General features: G+C 37.8%; 1 protein-coding gene and 1 long non-coding RNA gene across 16 annotated transcripts in view, besides 1 other annotated feature; one reads left to right on the top strand and one right to left on the bottom strand.

Annotated features, from left to right (window-relative positions):
• The window catches only part of STXBP5L (syntaxin binding protein 5L), a 516557-nt gene extending 504465 nt beyond the window's left edge, over window positions 1-12092 (bottom strand). For 9 of the 14 annotated variants that reach the window (NR_145516.2, XR_924217.3, XR_001740373.2 and 6 more), the window contains exons 1-2: window positions 11963-12092; window positions 10530-10726 (exon numbers count right to left, since the gene is read on the bottom strand). Coding sequence is in view for 10 of the 14 variants with exons in the window: in NM_014980.3 (NP_055795.1) it covers window positions 10530-10718 (189 nt within the window). In the remaining 4 variants the exon portion in view is untranslated. Of the gene's footprint in view, window positions 1-10529; window positions 10727-11105; window positions 11621-11962 lie in introns of those variants that run through there. The other 5 variants (XM_006713825.4, NM_001348345.2, XM_017007535.3 and 2 more) reach the window with 2 other exon arrangements.
• Window positions 12021-12260: a silencer, noted in NCBI's record as "silent region_14637". NCBI's record gives its function as "represses an Ori minimal core promoter by ATAC-STARR-seq in GM12878 lymphoblastoid cells {active_cell/tissue: GM12878}" and the evidence as "EXISTENCE:reporter gene assay evidence [ECO:0000049][PMID:35858748]".
• Window positions 12204-22730, top strand: part of LOC105374069 (uncharacterized) — a 46400-nt gene continuing 35873 nt past the window's right edge. Inside the window, exon 1 of one of the 2 annotated variants that reach the window (XR_924399.4) lies at window positions 12204-12268. This is a non-coding gene — a long non-coding RNA (uncharacterized LOC105374069). Of the gene's footprint in view, window positions 12793-22730 lie in introns of both variants that reach the window. The other variant, XR_924398.4, reaches the window with a different exon arrangement.

Raw genomic sequence — 22730 nt, 5'->3', positions numbered from 1 at the left:
AATTTGAGTCTGTTAGCAGAGAACAAAGAAGCATGATTTAAAGATAATTATTTGATAATTATACTGAGCTGACCCAGATTAAATACTTTCCAATCCTTTCAAAAAGAAATTGGTGAATAAAAGAGAAACTGTGACTTAAAGAGTTACTTTCGTATGTTAATAGTCTCAATAAGTATTAGACTTGTTAGGGAAATGAAATTGTACCAAAAGAAATATATTTCAGACATTTTCCAGGTTCTTTTATTTTAGAATAAAGCAGCTTTTAGCCAAGAAGATATAAATGGAAATTAACATAGGCTAAGGACAAAGAGAAAGATATCAAATACATTATAAAATAATTCAAAAATAGTAGAAATACAAGGAAAAAAGAAAGAAAGAGACAGGGAGCAAAAAAACCTGAGCCATTGAAAAAAGAATAAGAGGGAGTTTCATAAAAGTTATAAAACATGAATTAAAGTTCACATGATGTAAATTATTCTGTTAATCACATTAAAATATAAATGGTTCACAGAGTGTGTGCTTGCCTTGCAAAGTCATTCCTAAAAAAGGGTTGCCCAATTAAAAAGTCTAGTTTAGAATCATATATAAAATATGCTTTCAATAAATGTTTAAATAATAAGTAACTGAATTCACCAAATAGCTAGTGGGGAGCTGTGGCAGAGCACAAGAATATTGAATATTACCTCAAACAGCAAAGGAGTTTTGGTTAAGATGAAACTGGAAAAAGCAAAGAAAGAGCCAACAATAAACTACCATAGGATGGCAGAGAATCAGAATAAGGTACCTTTTGAATTATGTAAATATTCAATAAATGTAATGTACAGATTATTTATAAATGGAACTCAATACATCAAAATGTGTTCCTCATCAGTATTTTAATCCTCTTCCTACCACCTTCCAACTCAGTTCTTCAAGTATATTTAGCCTATTAACCCAAGTGAAGAAATCTAAGTTACTAATAAAACAGATTTTGTCCAATTCAATTTCAGCTTTTTGCTATATAATTCTATTCTAAGTAACTGTAGAGTGAATCCTTATCAAATGTTCTGTTCTTTCACTTAAAAGAAGAGCTATACAAAACTGAATCTCATCCTATCCCTCAAATTATTTATTTATTTATTTCATGGGTAAAAATCAGTAACGTTGAGAATCCACCTCACTTTTATTCACTTTGACACATACTGTGTCTTTTATGACACTTTTCTCTTTTCTAACATTCTCAGCAAAGCCTATCCTATAGTAGCATCACAAAATAGTACAACAGCTCTCAGGATGACCTAAAAATATTCTTTTTCCCATTCCTTAAAGAATGTTACCATGTCTAGAAAACATTTAAAAGTTCTCTATTTGGCATCTTGTGGTACACTGAACAACCCACCCACTTCCTCACATATAGCCTTCTAGTTCATAAAGAAATCAGGACAAAGAGTTATTTTTTTCATTAATATACACAAAAGCACAAGATAGCTGATCTTATCAAAAAACCTGTGACTTTACACAAACTGAATTAAGATAACTTCAAGCCAAGTGAAAATGCAACATGAACCTTGCTTGGATGCCAATCTAAACAAATCAACTACAAAAAGACAATATGGGACAACTAAGGGAATTTAAACACTAACTACATGTTAGATTATATAAAGAAATGTTAATTTTCTTCACTATGATAATGGTCTTTAGGATTAATAGTGTAAGCACAGGGTGAGGAGAAGTGCTTATCTGCTCTGTAAGGTTTTTACAGGTGGAAGGGTACAATGTCTGAGATTTGCATTAAAATAATGAAATGTAAGAGTAGCAAATAAGAGAATATAAATCAGCAAGATTTGCCAAGGATGATCATTGTTGAAGCTGGGGGTTCAATACTATTCTCTCTGTTCTTGTGTGTTTAAAGTTTTCCATAAAATAACTCAAAAAACAAAAACAGGTGAGGTGATGAACATCTAGGTACAGAGAATAACAGCCCCCAAAGAACCTGTGAATATGTTAGCTTATATGGCAGAGGGGAATTAAGGTTGCAGATGGAATGAAGACTGCTAATCAACTAACCTTGTAATGGGGAGATTAACCTGGATTATCCTGGTGGGCCCAATGTAATCATAGGCATCCTTAAATATTAAAAAAGGGAGGCAGGAAAGTCAGGGTGGTGACATGTTGGAAAGATCAACTGGCTTTGAAAATGGAAGGGGGCTGGTTTTGAAGATGGGAGGGGGCCATCGGCCAAGGAATTGTGATCAGCCTCTAAAAGCTGCAAGAGTCAAGAAAACAAAATCTCCTCTACAGCCTCCAGAAAGGAATGCAGTTCTGTGAACACATTAATTTTAGCCCAGTGACATCCATGTCATACTTCTGACCTCCAGAACAATAAGATGATAAATTCGTGTTGTTTTAAGCCAATAAGTTTTTGGTAATTGAAGCAGCAATACAAAAGTCATATGATCTTCTCATAGAATCACATGCTTTTATTTACCTGAAAGGACATAAAGCACAGATTTCACTGAGAATTCAAATGAAATATGTATTCTTATCAGGTAAGGAGAAAAATTCCAAATTAGATACCTACTGTTTTATTTTACTTACTTATTTATTTATCTTAGAGACAGGGGTCTTGCTATGTTGCCCAGGCTGGAGTACTATTAGTGGCTATTCATGATCACAGTGCATTAGAGCCTCGAACTCCTATCCTGAAGGGTTCCTCCCCCTCATCCTCCTCAGTAGCTAGGACTACAGGCATGTGCTACCATGGCCACCCCTTGCTATTTTAAAAGGCAAATCTTACCTCTATTCCCCACCCTACCATTCCCTTTCTGGTAGCCTCAATTGCTTTTCTGTGGATTAATTGCATCACCACCCCTACAGTGTACCAAAATGATATTAAAACCTACTGTCTCTGCTATTTTTTCACCACTTTTCTTTTCTATAAAGTCAATTCCTCACACATCTCCCCTACTTCTACTCTTGGTACTGATGCTACTAATTATATTCTCTATTATATTGTTGACCTTAATTCTATCCATCACCTTACTGAAAATATGTTTACCCTAATCAATTTCCTCTTGGCCTAATTCACTTGTCTCTGACAATTCTGTGTTATTTGTTTGTTGTTTTGAAGTTTGTTTTGTTTTTACTATCTTTGACCACTCCACAAAGCTGGGACATGCCTGAGTTTCTCTCTTACTATTCTCTCTAAAGAATGCTTCAGATTACCTGCCTCTACTCTTGAATTTTCCTCATATTATTCTGCTCGGTTCTTCTCTGTCTCCTTTTCTAGTTTCACATTTTCCATCTACATGGATGTTTACCAACTGTAAGCATTTCCCCCAGACTCAATCTAACTTCAAAATTTATTATACTACTAATAATTTTCAAACTTTTACAGTTTACAGATTTATAGACAAGTTTTTAGTCAATTTATAGGAACAAAGTAAACTGAACATTAACCAATCCAGCTAGTTTTCTTCAGAGTGTAACTAATTTTATTGTGTTCATTTTGGTAAAGTAAAAATAAAAGAAAGATAAAAGAAGTATAACAATTTTCTCTCAATTCCAATCTTTACTTTCTAAATCCAGGTATTAAATCTGCATCTAAAACCACCAAAATGATCAGTTTTATTTATAATAAAATTTACATGTCCAAATAAGATGTCGATTTTATGCTATTGTCAATTCAAAGAGATATTTATTGAATTATAAAACACTTGCCAGGTGCGGTGGCTCACGGCTGTAATCCCAGCACTTTGGGAGGCTGGGGTGGGCGGATCACCTGAGGTCAGGAGTTTGAGACCAGCCTGGCCAACATGGTGAAACCCCGTCTCTACTAAAAATACAAAAATTAGCCGGGCGTGGTGGTGGGCGCCTGTAATCCCAGCTACTTGGGAAGCTGAGGCAGGAGAATCGCTTGAACCCAGGAGATGGAGGTTGCAGTGAGCCAAGACTGCACCATTGCACTCCAGCCTGGGCAACAAGAGCAAAACTCCACCTAAAAATAAAATAAGATAAAAATAAATATAAAACACTTAACTGAAACTAAAACAAATACAATATTTTCAATTTCAAATTCATTATATTGATTATATAGCATCATTATATACCATTATATTCAAAATAATTCTATAAACCATCAATATTAACTGGTAATTTTGGGCTTCCAATAAAACTCAAATCATATTCTTCTTTCTAATATGTTAGATAAGTCCAGAATATATCATAGGTGATTTTGCTGATAAATCAATCCCAGAAAGCATTATTTCATTCTTATTATAGTCAGTTGGCTGAGAACAGTTTATGTCTTAATTATTTTTAAAGGTGTATAATAAATACAATATATTTTCAATAATAAACATGTCAAAATACCTTCTTGCTGCATTCATTCAGTGACTATGAATGCTTCATTTAATCAAGTCTCTCCCTAAGTATCATGGTGAACCCACTATATACTTTTTGGAGGGCTTATATTCTATTCTTTATAACTACCTTCTCTAAATCCTTTAAATGTTATTTCTATTTTTGGCTGTATAAAACTTAATCAATGATTTTTTTCCTAGTCCTTATAAAGACAGTTTAGTATTACCTAGGAAATTAGGAACAATTATTCAGAATACTTAATCTATATTTTTAAATAAAAACGCTAGTATATTGTGCACATTAAAAGATTAGCCTTTCAAATACTAAAAAGAATTAAGAAAAGTTATCCTCCTTTTAAGACTAAAAAAGAAAATAACTGTCACTATAAACAAAAGCATTTTTATAAAGATCATCATTTTGATACTTAAGTAGGAACAAAAAGTTCCATTTTTCTCTTATGAGAAAAACAAACTCAATTTGAAAGTTTAAAGCAGGGCTTCTACTTGATACTTTTAATGGATATAGTCAAAAGTCATTGCTATTAAACCAATATGTAAGTGGCTTTACAGAACTATAATACAGGAAATCAGTACAATCATCCTATTATTAAAAGTAAATATGAACTTAATCCTGAGATTTTTCACAGGAACATCGTCAAATGAGGCTAGAGAAATATCTACAGAAATGCACTAAATTTTAAGAAACAGAAATTTCGTTTACTTAGTGATAATACTCCTACAGAAAAACATACTTGGAAATTATGTTAAGATTTTAACTTAGCTCTGTATGTATGAGAAATACAAAAAGTATGACGGCACTGTTTGTTTTTAAGAACATTTAAGAACCACCACACTATACAAGACCAACAACCCAATTTGCTGACAAATACTAGCACCAAAGGACTTTTTGTGAGAAAATGTGATTGCCCTCTAGGTAACTTTAAAATTTTACAAACGTACTTCTACACATCTATAATCCTTTACTCAAGCCTGCCCCTACACCCTTATGCTCTCAGGATAAGCAAAGCAGACAGCCTGGAGTACTGAGTCATCTGGCTTTGGTTTCTGGTTCTTAAAAGAAAAAAAAATCTTTAATTCTTTCTGGTTATTACGCTTGTTAGCATCTTAGTCTTAATGGTAGATTAATTCTTCCTTGCCTCCATTACCATTCTTAAAGATGCCTCTACTGTGCTTTTTGGTGACAGGAGAATGTAACAAATCCACACATCTCAGGGAATCTTCTATTATTCTTTTTATGGATGAAAACTTTATAACTGTGGAACTGTGATCATGATCTTTTCCCAATCTCAGTTGCAAAACCGCTTAAGTAAAATGGAGTGAAATTAGGAGAATGTGGAGACAATGAAAATCTTGAGGAAGAGATAGTATTCAAGGATATCTGGGCATTTAATCTCCTTTCATCTTGCTAGGGTCCTGGAAAGCCCAACTCTCTACAGTTCATGCCTGTATTTCTGATCTATACCTATTTACCTGGTACGATCTGATATTATGTCAGATATGAGCATCATTGTTATAAATCCATTTCCCTGCAGAAGTTATACTAGTTAACTACATGTTGTTTCTGACATTGTGACCATTTATAAAAACAGTTTATAAATGATTATGAATAGTGAGTTGGCTAATTTAAGAGTTTATTCAGAAATTTAGGGATTATGTCATCTGGTTCTGGTAATATACTTATTTTACTCTTTTTTTGGTAATATACTTATTTTTATCTTTTGTTAATTAGGTCTAGAACACCCTGTGTGTTTGTCACTGTCAATCTAGAACTTCTGAGTTGTTCCCCCAAAAAGATCATTTAAAAATGAGAATGTTCCTAATATCTTCTTCAATAAAAACTGAAATAAATTTAATTAAATCCTCCTACAATCTTCTTTTCTACATCTGTTTGAAAAGCATATACCATGTTCCTAAAGTGGTATCAACTCTTTCACTAGATGCTCTCCACCTCTTTATATAAAAGTTATTTCATAAAAGCAACTCCAAGAAGCTGTTCAAAATAATATCTAGTTTGCTTTTAACACAACAATCTGTATAGCTTCCCTCCTTTAATTTATTCATTTATTTGCTCAACAAATATTTGACTGCCTTCAATGGGCCAGGCACCATTCTATACATAGATGATACAGATGTGAACAAAATAAAGCCTTGCTTTATACATATCACTGTATATATAATCTAGAAGGACTTGACACTTGGTTTGCTTCAAAAGCATGTAATTTCTTACTCTGCTTTAAATAAACCAAAACTGAAAGTTGTAGATATGAATTTGGAAAGGTTTATGGAAGAGAAGTCCACACAGAACTCCAATCACAGAACCAACATTCAACAGAAAAACGTAGTCATTTATCAAATGATTTGTAAATTGTATATTTAGATGTTTTCAATTAAAATAAAATGTTTAAGGCATATATAAGTAGTAATTGCTCTCTGCTTTAATATCTTTTTCAATTAATCGACCAATCATGTATATGCATCTTTACTCATTTAAAGTGTATCAAGTGCCCACTATAATGGTTTTCACTAATGGCTGTGCATAGAAATCTCCTGTGGGGCCATTCAAAAAAATGCAAGTGCCTAGGACTCATCCCTAGAGATTTTGATTCTCTAAGAATGGGGAGGTGCTGGAAATCTCTATTTTAGACACCAGAGTTAAGAAATACTGGCCAGCTAGATAGTGTATACCCTAGCAATAAGAAGGAAACAAGAAAAAAAAATTATTTGCTTTTCAAAGAGTTCATAGTATAACGGCAGTGACAGATTTTTAAGAAACTTTTTTAATCACAGGAAGATGCTAAATTCACACTATAGGTATATGCCAGATGCTACAGAAAAACATAGAATAGGTTTTTAAAAAAGAAAAAAAAGAACCCTGGTGGGTAGTTGAGGTGGCAGTGGTCAGAGCTAGTCTCATAGAGGTGATGTTTGAATTATGAGGTAAAAGATGGCTGGGAATTATCCAATCGTATGAAAGTAGAAAAGGTATTCTAGTCAGAAACGAAAGAATGAGAGAAGGCATTGAGATATGAGAAAATATGGTATCTTTTAGGGAATGCAGTATACTTAGGGAATCAAGCAAATAAAAATGGAAAGGTAAACAGGAATCTCTTCTGAAGGAAACTCTATACCCATCAAGGTAAGCAATTTGAAATTTATTTTATAGAGCAATAGTTTCAAATTGTATTTCACAGAATTCAAGTTCAGGAAAGGCAGTTCATGTATTTCACAAATACCTGGACAATGCAGGCATTCCAATGTATACACATTCTGAACGATTGCAGTAACCCAATGCATTAACTTTTTTTTTTTTTTGGCTGACCTTGAACCAAAGTTTCTTCTGCCATTTCTATGACTTTGAACATCTCATAGATATTTTGTTTATTATGAAGGGTACAGCTTTATACTTTCACTTTTTTAAGGCTAGCGAACATCCTACTACCTTCCTATGGGCGATATTACACAATAAAAAACAAATATAAAAAGTTTTTTTATCAATTGGCTGTATAATTTATTCTTATAATTTCTGAAACAAATGTGTGCCCATGAGTTGCCACATTTTTTTGTTTGAATAGATGTTATTTACTGTGGTTTCAAATAAGACTTTCATTTTAAGAGCATCATTGCTGTAGGAAACCAATATAGAATTTTTAGCAAGGAAATGACATAATTAACATTGTATTTCAGAAATAGCCATTATTGTAACAAAATGAAGTGTAATCCAGTAAAACTAGAAGTAAAGAGATCAGTTAGAAAGTGATTTCAAAAGACCAAGCAAGAAAATATGACGGAACGAACAAGTACTGGGGATGTAGAAAAGGTCATAAATTTCAGAAATACTAAGGAAATAGAATAGAGGGGATGTGATGACTAATCAGATAGAAGAGAGGAGGCTTTCAAACAGCCAAGTCTAGATTTATACTTTAGTTTTGCCCATGTTGAAAAGGTAGAAGCACCCAGAATATGACAGCTCCTTAGAACTCAGAAGAGAAATTTTTTTGCACATTTAATCAGGGAGTCTATGAGTCTAAATAAAGTCCCCATTTCAGTAACGGTCTAATTTTGGGATTTCCTTAGTCCATTTTTATATGTTTTGTTATAGACCAGGTAATTATAATACATCCATATAACTATTTTTTAAAATTAACTATATTCCTATCCAAAGATGTTACAGTATTTTCCACATTTAGTAAGACTTCAGTACTGTTAGTGGACAACTTATATAGCTATCTATCTTATAATTTATTTGGAAATCATAAGCTAATATTATTATAACCCACTAGTTATATTCGCTCTACTATGAACACGTGATTTTACAAACTTTAACAATAATATTCGTATATATTTTATCATCCTTTCCATTTATGCATTACCTTCACCTTATTCTGTCTGATCCTCCCAATAACCGTCTCTTAGTTAAGGAGAGCAGATACACTTATTCCTACACTGCAGATGCAGAAATCAAGGCTCAAGGGAGATAAATGGCTTACCCAAGAGTATATGGCTGTCAACTAGCAGAACTTTAAATAAAACACAAATTTTCTGATTCCTAGGCCAGTGCTCTTCCTACCATGCCATATGTTTTTAAAGTAGTATGTATTTAACTTCTGGTACTTCCTATGACTATCTCTTGCCTGAATAAATGGGAAGATAACTATGTATTCCATTATCTCTTGCATTCACCCATTTCCCTGAAGTTTTTTATTTAAAACCTTCTCTACAAGCTTTATGACCTCAACAGCCCAATGCCATTCTGTTTCAGAAGTCTATCTTTCCTATACCAGTTTTACCTCTGGTAAAATTCTCCTGTATCACTGTCATATACATGAATTGAGAGAATTTGGAAAAAATTTTCAGAATCTGATCGTGAAAATTGCAAACACATCAAAGATTAGAGAATCAGGGCATAATTCCCCTGCCTAGCAGTTCAAATTTGAACTCCAGGACTCTTTTACATTTGTCTCATAACCACTGTTAAGACCTTCCCTCATCGAACAGAATATCTGTTATTTCCTATTGAGGAAAAAAATTATTACTGTACACAAATTTCACAAAGTAGCTTAGAATTAAATCTGTTTATCTAAATTAACTCTAAATAAACTTGCTTTTATGTAAACTAATAACTATAGATTTAATGTTTTTATAATGACCCTGCTAGGAATATAGGCTGAGACAGTGATTGAAATATACCTCATTATACATATATCACTTGTTTACCACAAATATAATTTTAATAATTTCAAAAAACTTTTCTTTTGTGAAAGTATTTTTAAAAATTGTTAATTTCTGTAATTTTGCAATTTTTCTATTTCTTATGTAGCCAAACACATTTACAAAACTATATTCATTTATATGACATAAATAACTTAGTAGCCTTTGTTGCATATAATAGGCACATTCCAAGACAACTCAAAAAAGGGCAATAAAATTATAAATCACTTTATGTCATAAAATATAACAAATATAGCAATAACAATATCTCTATGCATTAACCTAATGCTTGTTTTATAAACTCTCATCTTCTCTACCTACCAGAAACTCTCTTTTGCATATTCATTAGAAGTTCAATATCAAAGTATAATTACATAAAATGTTTTCTTACTAAACCAGAACACCCGCTATTTTTGAGTTCCTACAACTGCAAGTTCTTATAAGCCTGTGCATTTGTCTGTTTGTGTATTTATGAAGAGTTTAAGAATGTGAAGGTGTTTTTATTCGGAATTTTAAAGCAATGTCATTGGCCCCCTTAAAATGAACATATTTTCCTATTATCTACTTAATCCTAGCAACATGCTAGTAGCTTTATTCATTTCATACTGAACAGTGAAATAACAATATTTTCTCTGATAACACAAAAAACCAAACGACTATTTGCTTCTTCAGTTAATATAATACACAAATATTAAAAATTTTGTCCACTATTGGATCTTAACATTATCTTGCAAATTCTACTTTTTGTGTGTGCTCATTTCCCACTTAAACTATCATTGCTTTTTAAGTTGACGCCTAAAATATCTATTAAGCCAAACTGATCTACCCACAGAGCTTTCTGCAGCAGACTCTGATGCTGACATCTCAACAGTTTCCTGTTCCTGGTATGTTTTTCCCCCCTTGTTTCCTTACAACAGTATAATAAAGAAATAATAGGCTTTAAGCCAATTCAAAACTTACCTTGCAAATCTGGAAATACTCCGAAGTCAAAGTTTCCTGAATTTCCTCTCTGAGAACCCCTGCAGTCCCCGCCGGATGTACGGAACCACTTCCAGCCCCACCACCACTGTTACTGCCACTGCTGCTACCACTGCCAGGGGAGGAGGCAGTTAAGCCATCCAAAACTTTTCGGAAATTAAACTTCTTCATTTTAAACACTGTTGAGAAATACAAAGGAAAAAAAGGGAAAGAGGTGACTTAACACGTGCAATTAGACCTTGGTAAAAGCCTTTCTCTTTTCATTAGTCAAGTCAGTCCCCATTTTATGAGCATTGGTTACGACCGACTGGAAAAAAAGAGTCAGGATTCGTTTTGCCAAATTTTAATTCTAAAAAGCATATCCTTTTTAAAAAAAGATAAATATAACACAACTCCAAAAGCAACAGTATTCCCTCCTCACACATCAGATTTTCAAGGACTGTATCCCCAGCTGTAACTACGCTTTATCAGCACTGGGGTAAAAATAAAAGGCAGTGTCATCATCGTCATTAGCATTATATCATCATTATTATACAATCAAACCAGAGTTCAACAGACCAAGACTCTGTCTCTCTCTTAAGGGCGGACTTTCCTTCTTCGAAACGTTCGGCTCAGAGTATTTTATTTTCAGAAAAACGACGTTGGGGGAGCCGGTATTTACTCTGCCACCACCTTCCGGGCTCTTCCCCCATCAGCTTCAACGCTTCCTTTTTTGTCACTATGAAAGGCGGGGAGGGGGGTACTTTTTCTAGTCCCCATCCCCCAGCAGCCCGGACCCCAAAACATCTGCGAGTGACCCACAGCAACAGCTGCCGGGGAGGGGGGGAGGAGGAGAACGGCGACACCGTCTGTTTCCACTTGTCCCTCCGCCTCCCCCTCACCTCCCCCTCATCTCCCTCCCCGCGTCCTCTTTCCCCCCTCTCCCCATCTCCTGCTCCCCTCCCTCCACCTCTGCCCGCAGCCGCCGCCGCGCTCTCCCGCCTGTTCGCCCGCCCGCCGTCCGCTCTCCCCGCTGCACGGCAGCCGCTCTCGGGGGACGTGAAGCGGTGGCGGCGACGGCTGCGGCCCGAGTCCCGCCTCAGCCTGCTGGGCGCGCAGAGCCGCCGCTCCCGCTGTCCCTCCCCCAGGCCCAGCGCTGAGGCGCGGGGCTCTCGCCCGCCCGCGGGCGCGCGAACACACAAACACCTCACGCCGAGGCATTCGCGCTCCCAGCCAGAACACACACAAACACCCTCACACGGGCATTCGCGCGCTGGTGCGCTCGCTCTCTGTCTCTGTCTCTCTCTGTCTCTCTCTCTCTCAAACACACACACACACTCACACAGACACACACAGGTGCGAGGGAGCCACAGCTGGACGGCGGCAGCGGCGGCGGCGTCCCAGAGGGATGACTATCTGACCCAGGACTTAGGCACCTTCCTCAGACGCCTCTAGCCGCCTGCCAGCCCGGGAAGCTGAGGGGGCCGAGGTAGGCGGGCTCCGGCCGCTTCTCTGGGCCCTCTGGTCGCGGCGCCTGGCGCTCTCCGAGGTCCTAACCGAGCAGTCAGGCTCCAGAGCAGGCTCCGCCCTCCCGCCGTGGGAGGCAGGCCCCGCCCCCGGGCCGGCCCCTAGCTTGCCCCGCCCTGCTTCTTCCCCGGCAAAGCTGGGAGGTGAAGGGGGCGGGGTGCCCGGGGACGTCAAAGGGCGGGAGTAGCTTCGGCGCCAATCCTAGATTCGATAGGGTAAGTTCTGTGGTCTCCAGGGCAGAAGAAATCTGTGGATAGGCCGAAGGTAAAGCCAATGACAGTGGGAGGGGGGAATTTAGAGAAGTAGGTGAGGTATTTGATTGACAGCGGTATTGGCCAGTATGCTGGGGGTCGTGCTCTGGGGGATGTAATTGGCGCTACCTGTTGAAGGACTCAAGTGTGAATCAATAGAATGCCTGCAAGCGTGCGAATTTGGACGCCTGGAGTCTGAGGATGCGGGAAGCGTTGCTTACCTTAGGTATGGCTCTGGACAGTATGGTGAACTGAGCAAGTGTTTTGCACCTTTTCACTTCTGCGAGCCTCTTCCCGGTCTTCAGGAGCATCTATCTGGCTCCCATCACTCTCCTGCTACCTGCACTCAACTTGTATCTGTGATTAACCCCTGCTGTTACCAATAATGGCTTAATGGTTCGTATCTGCCAAGGAGAATTGTATTTCAACAGTTTCAGAATATATAGCCTTCTAGAGCCTAAGGAATTGATTGCTTACCTTGCTCTCTAGTAAGTAGAATTACTCCTTCCCCATCATCCTCACATATACAAAGATATTTAATTTCTTTAAAGAAATATTTCTCACTCTGTAAACCGTATCAAGAATATATTTTAAGCTATTTCTGTGAGTCACAATAATCATTTTGAAAGATGTATTATTCAGTGCAGAAAAAAAAACTGTATCAGGATAGATTTGGTTCTGAGCCCTCACCTGCTATTGACTTCGGGAAAATTTGGACCCCGATGTCTTTGCGAAATGAATGGCAGTTCAGCGGGTCACAGCTAACTGAGACTTCAATTTGGGCATCACAACAGAACTCATTAGTGATCATTTCAAATATTGTCTTACATCTTACAATCTTTGACCTCTTTTTTTCTTTTCTTCTTTTTCTTCTTTTTCACCTCTCCTCTTCTCTCTCTCTCTTTTCTCTCAATCAAGGGAGAGAGTGGGAAGGAGGAAGCAGGAGACTTGAAGGATGATGACTTGTCCAAGGACATAGCAAAGAAATGGTAAAGATGAAATAGAGCTCAGTTTTTCAGATCCTCAGCTCAACGTTGAATCTTTCTGTCCTGAATGACTATTTCACTCCTTTTGGGACTCCCTACACTGCTGGTAGTCTCTCATTGCCACAGCTAGACAGTAACCTTCTTGAAGGCAAGCATGGAATTGTATATTTCTCCTAGATTATTTAGCACCAGGCACAATATTTCACTTAAAATAGGCACGTAAAGGGTTCTGAAGAGTTGGTTTATTAATATTTTTTATTAAAGATATATGAGTTGGTACCCAATTACATAATGTTTGAAAGGGGTAAAAATAATGGTGGAAATAAGTGATATGTCTGACACAAACTAGATCTTGGTAGGGTTCCAAATTCTGTATTGGGTCCCTAACAACAGGTATCTTTTTACTCTTTTCCACCTTTTTTCTTCTCTTCTTCCTGGCCCATTGCTCACCTCAAAGTATGGACGCTAGTTAAGGATAAAGAGTTTGCTTTCCTTGTTTTATGTCTGTCTTTTCTTTTTAAAAACAGAGGCAAGGAGGGTTATAATAAAGTGGCTGAGTTTTCATTTTTCTAATAAATGAAAGCAAGCCTATAGCAAGTAGTGGTTTGACATTTTGATGGGAGCGAAGAAGGAGAATAGCCCCAATTCAGCAAAGTGAGATGTAATGTTTGCAAACAAAACCTCTTAAACTGATCATCACTAGCACCATATTATCACAAACTAAATGATGGTCTTTATTCTAAAAATTGGGGGAGAGCTGAGGAAAAAAGTACACAAAAGATTGACAGAGATCCTTCTTGAGGACCCTGGAGAGAATTCAATGGACTGCCTGAGTTAGATGGGACAACAAATAGGTATAGGAAGTGGGAGAAAAGCCAAGTCAAAATGTATTCATGTTTCCAAATAAATATTGGAAGCCTAAAAAAATATGATCATTAGGATGCTTAGATTGTGGACTATTTGGGATTATTTCAAATATCTGTGTTCCTCCACAGTGAATAGCATAATGTCTTCTACATAGTAAGTGCCCAGTGAATATTAATTTGAATGAATGGCAGCAAGTAAAAATCATAACATAATTGCAGTCTCAGAGAGCCTGTGCACACAGGATATTGTGATGCCAATTCACAAACTGTGAGCAAAGGATAGAATTAAGCAAGAGGCAGAGTACATTGTGTGTATGAGGAGACAGCAGAAACAATAGCCTAAAAATCTTACTAGGTGAGAGAAGCATAATGAAATATCTATGGAAGTAAATTTCATCCTGGATTAATTAAAAAGCAATAAGATGTTATTTTATAAACCATCTATTAACAGCAATGAGACCAGACCACAGCATATATTTTATAAATAATGTGAGAAACTTCAGAGTTGGATCGGGTAATAATAATGATGACCCCTTATCATTCACTGCAAACTGGAAGAATACTTTGTGGAGAGGAATGGCTGAGGTACAGCTTCTGAATAAGGCTTGATTTCTTCCTAAAATGACAAGTATGAAGAACTGCAAAAAGAAAAATACTTTCAGCTTGATCCATGGAGCAAAATCATCAAAGCATTTAAATAAATCTACTACATCAGAAGGATTTTTAGGATGTGTGTTGAAAATATGTTACAACTCACTTTAAGTGTTCGTGATTTTGGACTCAAGCCAACAATGAAGCTAAGAGAGGCTGCCTTTCCACACCTGCAAAATAATTAAATAATTGTAGAAAGTATGTACATGTGTGGCACTTCACACAGAGAAGAAAATTTAACTGGCTAGGGTTACAGAAAACTAAGCAAAATTGACAAAACCATATGTAAATAATCCATTGTATATAGAGATAATAATAATTCTACCAGTTATTTAGCACTACGTCAAACATTGTACTATGAACTTTACATACAACTCTTTTAACTTGATCCTTATTATAACTCTATAAGATAGGTATTGTCCCCATTTTATGAAAGAGGAAATTTGGAGCTCAGAAATATTTAAGAAATTCACCCAAGGTCACTTAGGTGGATAATCCAGTCTTCGAATTCAAAGCTGTCTAACTTCTAAGATCATGCTCTTAATCGGTGCCTTATTATTTGATACCATTTAGAAGATTAAATAGAAACTAGAATAGAAAAAAAGGTGGCGGGTCAATTCTCCACCTAAAATAGTGATTGTATGTGTATTAGTCTTTCAGGACTGCCATAACAAAATACCATAGACTGGGTAGCTTAAAAAACAGGAACTTAGCACAGTTTGGGAGGCTAGAAATCCAAGATCAAGGCATCGGCAGATTTATTTTCTTCTGAGGCTCTCTCAATGGCTTGCAGATAGTCACCTTCTCTCTGTGGCCTTACATGGTCTTTTCTCTGTGGGCTCACATCCCTCGTTGATTTCTCCATGTGCCTAAATTTCCGCTTCTTATAAGGCTCCCAGTCAGATTGTGTTAGAGTCCACCTTCATGGCCTCATTGTGGCTTAATCACCTTTTAAAATATCCTATCTCCAAATATGCTTCCATTCTGAGGTACTGAAGGTTAGGGCTTTGACATATGAATTTTGGGAAGACACAATTTAGCCCATGACAATAAGATCATCAAATTCAACATCCTTTGAGGAGAGCATCTACTATGAGCTGGAATTGTGTTTAAAAATTTACATTTATTGGCCGGGCGCGGTGGCTCACGCCTATGATCCCAGCACTTTGGGAGGCCAGGGTGGGTGGATCACGAGGTCAGGAATTCGAGACCAGCCTGGCCAACATGGTGGCCTGTCTCTGCTAAAATACAGAATTTACCTGGGCACGGTGACAGGAGCCTGTAATCCCAGCTATTTGGGAGGCTGAGACAGGTGAATTGCTTGAACCCAGGAGGCAGAGTTTGCAGTGAGCCGAGATCGCGCCACTGCACTCTAACCTGCGTGACAGAGCGAGACTCCATCTCAAAAAAAAAATTACATTTATTTTCTCATTTAATCCTCACAACAATAATGTATGGTAGCTATAGATAACTCCATTTTACAGGTAAAAAACTGAAGCAAAGCAAGGTTAAGTAATAAGCCCAATATCATACATCTGGTAGGTTTTGAAACAAGAATTTGGACTAATCTCAATCTTACTCCAAAGTTCTTTCCTCACGCTAGTAGTTTTCTGTTGAGGACCCAGAGAAATCCCTTTATAAAGGTGTTTTATATTAGAAAAGTTAATTATGACAAATTCGAGTATTAGGTTAAAACAAAACAGAAAAAAATGGAAAATATCTCTTCAGGAATTTGGATACTAGAACTAAAAAGACATTTGAGAGTTCATGGGCACTGAGTACTAGAAATGGAAGACTTTGGGAACGGCAAGCTAATGGGAGGTTCTTATCTCACAAGAAATCTCAGTATAATTTGAAATACATTAACAGAGTCGCAGGGGAGTACCCCATCAAAATTGAAGAAAATCAGTTATCAATAACTAATTAGATGTAGTAAGGCAGTATTAATTTGCTGAGAAAGGCTGTAGTCTGAGTGACTATCAGAACAGCTGGAAGGAGAATTTGGATGGAGGGAGAATGATGACATAATACTTACCATAAGGTGGGGCTGGCAATTGTTTACATTAGCAAATGCGAACATTTCCATTGTGCGTGCTGTGAGCTTCTAGGTCCTGGCATGAGCAACCTAATTTGTCACTCACTTCTGACTCTTCAATCAAGTTATAGCAGTGTCCTTATTATTTGCCGGTTTAAAAGTTAGAATTTCAGTAAGAGAACATAGCTAAGTAAACAGGTTCCACCTATATCCTTTCTGGCAAATTTTTCCAGAGGATTAGGAATTACCTTTCCTTCCTAAGTTTTCATCTAACTCTTTTCTGACCCTATTATACATCCTTCAAGAGGAGTACTGGTTAATAATTGTCAGCTTTCTATTATATGGCAATAAATAACAATCAGCATTAAAACCCTTATTCCTAGTCCAAATCCACAAAGGAAAAACCACAGGGTTAATTAGATAATGTCATAGCTGTCATGGGTTTCAGATAAACAGGCAGGGGTCATTAGGATAGAACCAAGACACAAAATATGGCTCAGCACACAATCAATAACAGAATAGCAAATAGTTTTGCCCTGCTAGGGGCAAAACTCAAATATTTGCTGTTAAACATGTACTTAAAATCAGCTCTTTGTGCATATTCTAAAATAATTTTCACATATTCATCCATCACATTGTGATGTGGTAAGAAAAAAGATTTAGTGTTGGGACAGGCCTAAGTTTACTAACTGTTGCACTAACAAGCACTTTTAGCCTCTAAGCCTCAATTTACCCTTTTATATGGGAATAAATACAGGGTAATATAAGAAACAAGTGAAATTATGTATATAAAAGTGACTTGTAGAATGCAAACCACTAATAAATAATATTGTCATCATTTCCATTATTTGGTACTTTAGTAAAATAGTTTATAGGAATTGGCTTTAGATTTGAATTTATGTTCCCATTACTATTAATACGAAATTCCTTTGCATCTGTGGATTGACTATAGCTGAAATTGAGAAAAAGGAAGAGGATTTGGACTAGGTGACTTTTAAGGTTCTTTCCAATCAAAAATTCTGTCTTCATATGATTTGTTTAGTCAAGATTCACTACCATCTCTTCCTAAACACTACACAGACTTATTGAAAGGTAATTAAGGGGGGTGGAGCCAAGATGGCTGAATAGGAACAGCTCCGGTCTACAGCTCCCAGCGTAAGCGATGCAGAAGATGGGTGATTTCTGCATTTCCAACTGAGGTACCGGGTTCATCTCACTGGGGAGTGCCGGACAGTGGGTATAGGACAGTGGGTGCAGCGCACCACGCATGAGCCGAAGCAGGGCGAGGCATGGCCTCACCTGGGAAGCACAAGGGGTCAGGGAATTCCCTTTCCTAGTCAAAGAAAGGGGTGACAGACAGCACCTGGAAAATTGGGTCACTCCCACCCTAATACTGCGCTTTTCCAATGGGCTTATCAAACGGCACACCAGGAGATTATATCTCGCACCTGGCTCAGAGGGTCCTATGCCCATGGAGCCTCGCTCATTGTTAGCACAGCAGTCTGAGATCAAACTGCAAGGCAGCAGCAAAGCTTGGGGAGGGGCGCCCGCCATTGCTCAGGCTTGAGTAGGTAAACAAAGTGGCAGGGAAGCTCAAACTGGGTGGAGCCCACCACAGCTCAAGGAGGCCTGCCTGCCTTGTGGGCTCCACCTCTGGGGGCAGGGCACAGACAAACACAAGACAGCAATAACCCCTGCAGACTTAAATGTCCTGTCTGACAGCTTTGAAGAGAGTAGTGGTTCTCCCAGCACACAGCTTGAGATCTGAGAACAGGCAGACTGCCTCCTCAAGTGGGTCCCTGACCCCCGAGTAGCCTAACTGGGAGACACCCCCCAGTAGGGGCAGACTGACACCTCACACTGCCGGGTACTCCTCTGAGACAAAACTTCCAGAGGAACTATCAGGCAGCAGCATTTGCGGTTCACCAATATCTGCTGTTCTGCAGCCATCGCTGCTGATACCCAGGCAAACAGGGTCTGGAGTGGACCTCCAGTAAACTCCAACAGACCTACAGCTGAGGGTCCTGTCTGTTAGAAGGAAAACTAACAAACAGAAAGGACATCGACACCAAAACCCCATCTGTATGTAACCATCATCAAAGACCAAAGGTAGATAAAACCACAAAGATGGGGAAAAAACAGAGCAGAAAAACCAGAAACTCTAAAAATCAGAGCAACTCTCCTCCTCCAAAGGAACACAGCTCCTCACCAGCAATGGAACAAAGCTGGACGGAGAATGACTTTGACGAGTTGAAAGAGGAAGGCTTCAGAAGATCAAACTACTCTGAGCTAAAGGAGGAAGTTTGAACCAATGGCAAAGAAGTTAAAAACTTTGAAAAAAATTAGACAAATGGATAACTAGAATAACCAATGCAGAGAAGTCTTAAAGGACCTGATGGAGCTGAAAACCATGGCAGAAGAACTACATGATGAATGCGCAAGCCTCAGTAACCAATGCGATCAACTGGAAGAAAGGGTATCAGCAATGGAAGACAAACTGAATGAAATGAAGCATGAAGAGAAGTTTAAAGAAAAAAGAATAAAAAGAAATGAACAAAGCCTCCAAGAAATATGGGACTAGGTGAAAAGACCAAATCTACATCTAATTGGTGTACCTGAAAGTGACAGGGAGAATGGAAACAAGTTGGAAAACACTCTGCAGGATATTATCCAGGAGAACTTCCCCAATCTAGCAAGGCAGGTTAACATTCAAATTCAGGAAATACAGAGAATGCCACAAAGATACTCCTCGAGAAGAGCAACTCCAAGACACATAATTGTCAGATTCACCAAAGTTGAAATGAAGGAAAAAATGTTAAGGGCAGCCAGAGACAAAGGTCGGGTTACCCACAAAGGGAAGCCCATCAGACTAACAACTGATCTCTCAGCAGAAACTCTACAAGCCAGAAGAGAGTGGGGGCCAATATTCAACAATCTTAAAGAAAAGAATTTTCAACCCAGAATTTCATATCCAGCCAAACTAAGCTTCATAAGTGAAGGAGAAATAAAATCCTTTACAGACAAGCAAATGCTGAGACATTTTGTCACCACCAGGCCTGCCCTAAAAGAGCTCCTGAAGGAAGCACTAAATATGGAAACGAGCAACCAGTACCAGCCACTGCAAAAACATGCCAAATTGTAAAGACCATCAAGGCTAGGAAGAAACTGCATCAACTAACGAGCAAAATAACCAGCTAACATCATAATGACAGGATCAAATTCACACATAAAAATACTAATCTTAAATGTAAATGGGCTAAATGCTCCAATTAAAAGACACAGACTGGCAAATTGGATAAAGAGTCAAGACCTGTCAGTGTGCTGTATTCAGGAAAGCCATCTCACATGCAGAGACACACATAGGCTCAAAATAAAGGGATGGAGGAAGATCTACCAAGCAAATGGAAAACAAAAAAAGGTAGGGTTGCAATCCTAGTCTCTGATAAAACAGACTTTAAACCAACAAAGATCAAAAGAGACAAAGAAGGCCATTACAGAAGGGTAAACGGATCAATTCAACAAGAAGAACTAACTCTCCTAAATATATATGCACCCAATACAGGAGCACCCAGATTCATAAAGAAAGTCCTTAGTGACCTACAAAGAGACTTAGACTCCCACACAATAATAATGGGAGACTTTAACACCCCACTGTCAACATTAGACAGATCAATGAGACAGAAAGTTTAACAAGGATATCCAGGAATTGAACTCAGCTCTGCACCAAGCGGACCTAATAGACATCTACAGAACTCTCCACCCCAAATCAACAGAATATACATTCTTTTCAGCACCACACCACACCTATTCCAAAATGGACTGCATAGTTGGAAGTAAAGCACTCCTCAGCAAATGTAAAATAATAGAAACCACAACAAACTGTCTCTCAGAACATGGTGCAATCAAACTAGAACTCAGGATTAAGAAACTCACTCAAAACCGCTCAACTACATGGAAACTGAGCAAACTACTCTTGAATGACTACTGGGTACATAAGGAAATGAAGGCAAAAATAAAGATGTTCTTTGAAACCAATGAGAACAAAGACACAACATACCAGAATCTCTGGGACACATTCAAAGCAGTGTGTAGAAGGAAATTTATAGCACTAAATGCCCACAAGAGAAAGCAGGAAAGATCTAAAATTGACACCCTAACATCACAATTAAAAGAACTAGAGAAGCAAGAGCAAACACATTCAAAAGCTAGCAGAAGGCAAGCAATAACTAAGATCAGAGCAGAACTGAAGGAAATAGAGACACAAAAAACCCTTCAAAACATCAATGAATCCAGGAGCTGGTTTTTTGAAAAGATCAACAAAATTGATAGACCGCTAGCAAGACTAATAAAGAAAAAAAGAGAGAAGAATCAAATAGACGCAATAAAAAATGACAAAGGGGATATCCTACCAATCCCACAGAAATACAAACTACCATCAGAGAATACTACAAACACCTCTACGCAAATAAACTAAAAAATCTAGAAAAAATGGATAAATTCCTTGACATATACACTTTCCCAAGACTAAACAAGGAAGAAGTTGAATCTCTGAATAGACCAATAACAGGATCTGAAATTGGGGCAATAATTGATAGCTTACCAACCAAAAAAAGTCCAGGACCAGTGGATTCACAGCTGAATTCTACCAGAGGTACAAGGAGGAGTTGGTACCATTCCTTCTGAAACTATTCCAATCAATAGAAAAAGAGGGAATCCTCCCTAACTCATTTTATGAAGCCAGCATCATCCTGATACCAAAGCCTGGCAGAGACACAACAAAAAAAAGAGAATTTTAGACCAATATCCTTGATGAACATTGATGCAAAAATCCTCAATAAAATACTGGCAAACCGAATCCAGCAACACATCAAAAAGCTTATCCACCATGATCAAGTGGGCTTCATCCCTGGGATGCAAGGCTGGTTGAACATACAAAAATCAATAAACGTAATCCAGCGTATAAACAGAATCAAAGACAAAAAAACACGTGATTATCTCAATAGTTGCAGAAAAGGCCTTTGACAACATTCAACAACTCTTCATGCTAAAAACTCTCAATAAATTAGGTATTGATGGGACGTATCTCAAAATAATAAGAGCTATCTATGACAAACCCACAGCCAATATCATACTGAATGGACAAAAACCGGAAACACTCCCTTTGAAAACTGGCACAAGACAGGGATGCCCTCTCTCACCACTCCTATTCAACATAGTGTTGGAAGTTCTGGCCAGGGCAATGAGGCAGGAGAAGGAAATAAAGGGTATTCAATTAGGAAAAGAGGAAGTCAAATTGTCCCTGTTTGCAGATGACATGATTGTATATCTAGAAAACCCCATTGTCTCAGCCCAAAATCTCCTTAAGCTGATAAGCAACTTCAGCAAAGTCTCAGGATACAAAATCAATGTACAAAAATCACAAGCATTCTTATACACCAATAACAGACAAACAGAGAACAAAATCGTGAGTGAACTCCCATTCCCAATTGTTTCAAAGAGAATAAAATACCTAGGAATCCAACTTACAAGGGACGTGAAGGACCTCTTCAAGGAGAACTACAAACCACTGCTCAATGAAGTTAAAGAGGATACAAGCAAATGGAAGATCATTCCATGCTCATGGGTAGGAAGAAGGAATATCGTGAAAATGGCCATACTGCCCAAGGTAATTTATAGATTCAATGTCATCCCCATCAAGCTACCCATGACTTTCTTCACAGAATTGGAAAAAACTACTTTAAAGTTCATATGGAACCAAAAAAGAGCCCACATTGCCAAGCCAATCCTAAGCCAAAAGAACAAAGCTGGAGGTATCATGCTACCTGACTTCAAACTATACTACAAGGCTACAGTAACCAAAACAAAATATTACTGGTACCAAAACAGAG

The sequence above is a fragment of the Homo sapiens genome, chromosome 3, assembly GCF_000001405.40.
Source record: "Homo sapiens chromosome 3, GRCh38.p14 Primary Assembly".
Classification (NCBI taxonomy): Eukaryota; Metazoa; Chordata; class Mammalia; order Primates; family Hominidae; genus Homo; species Homo sapiens.
This window is presented reverse-complemented; position numbering and strand designations above follow the sequence as displayed.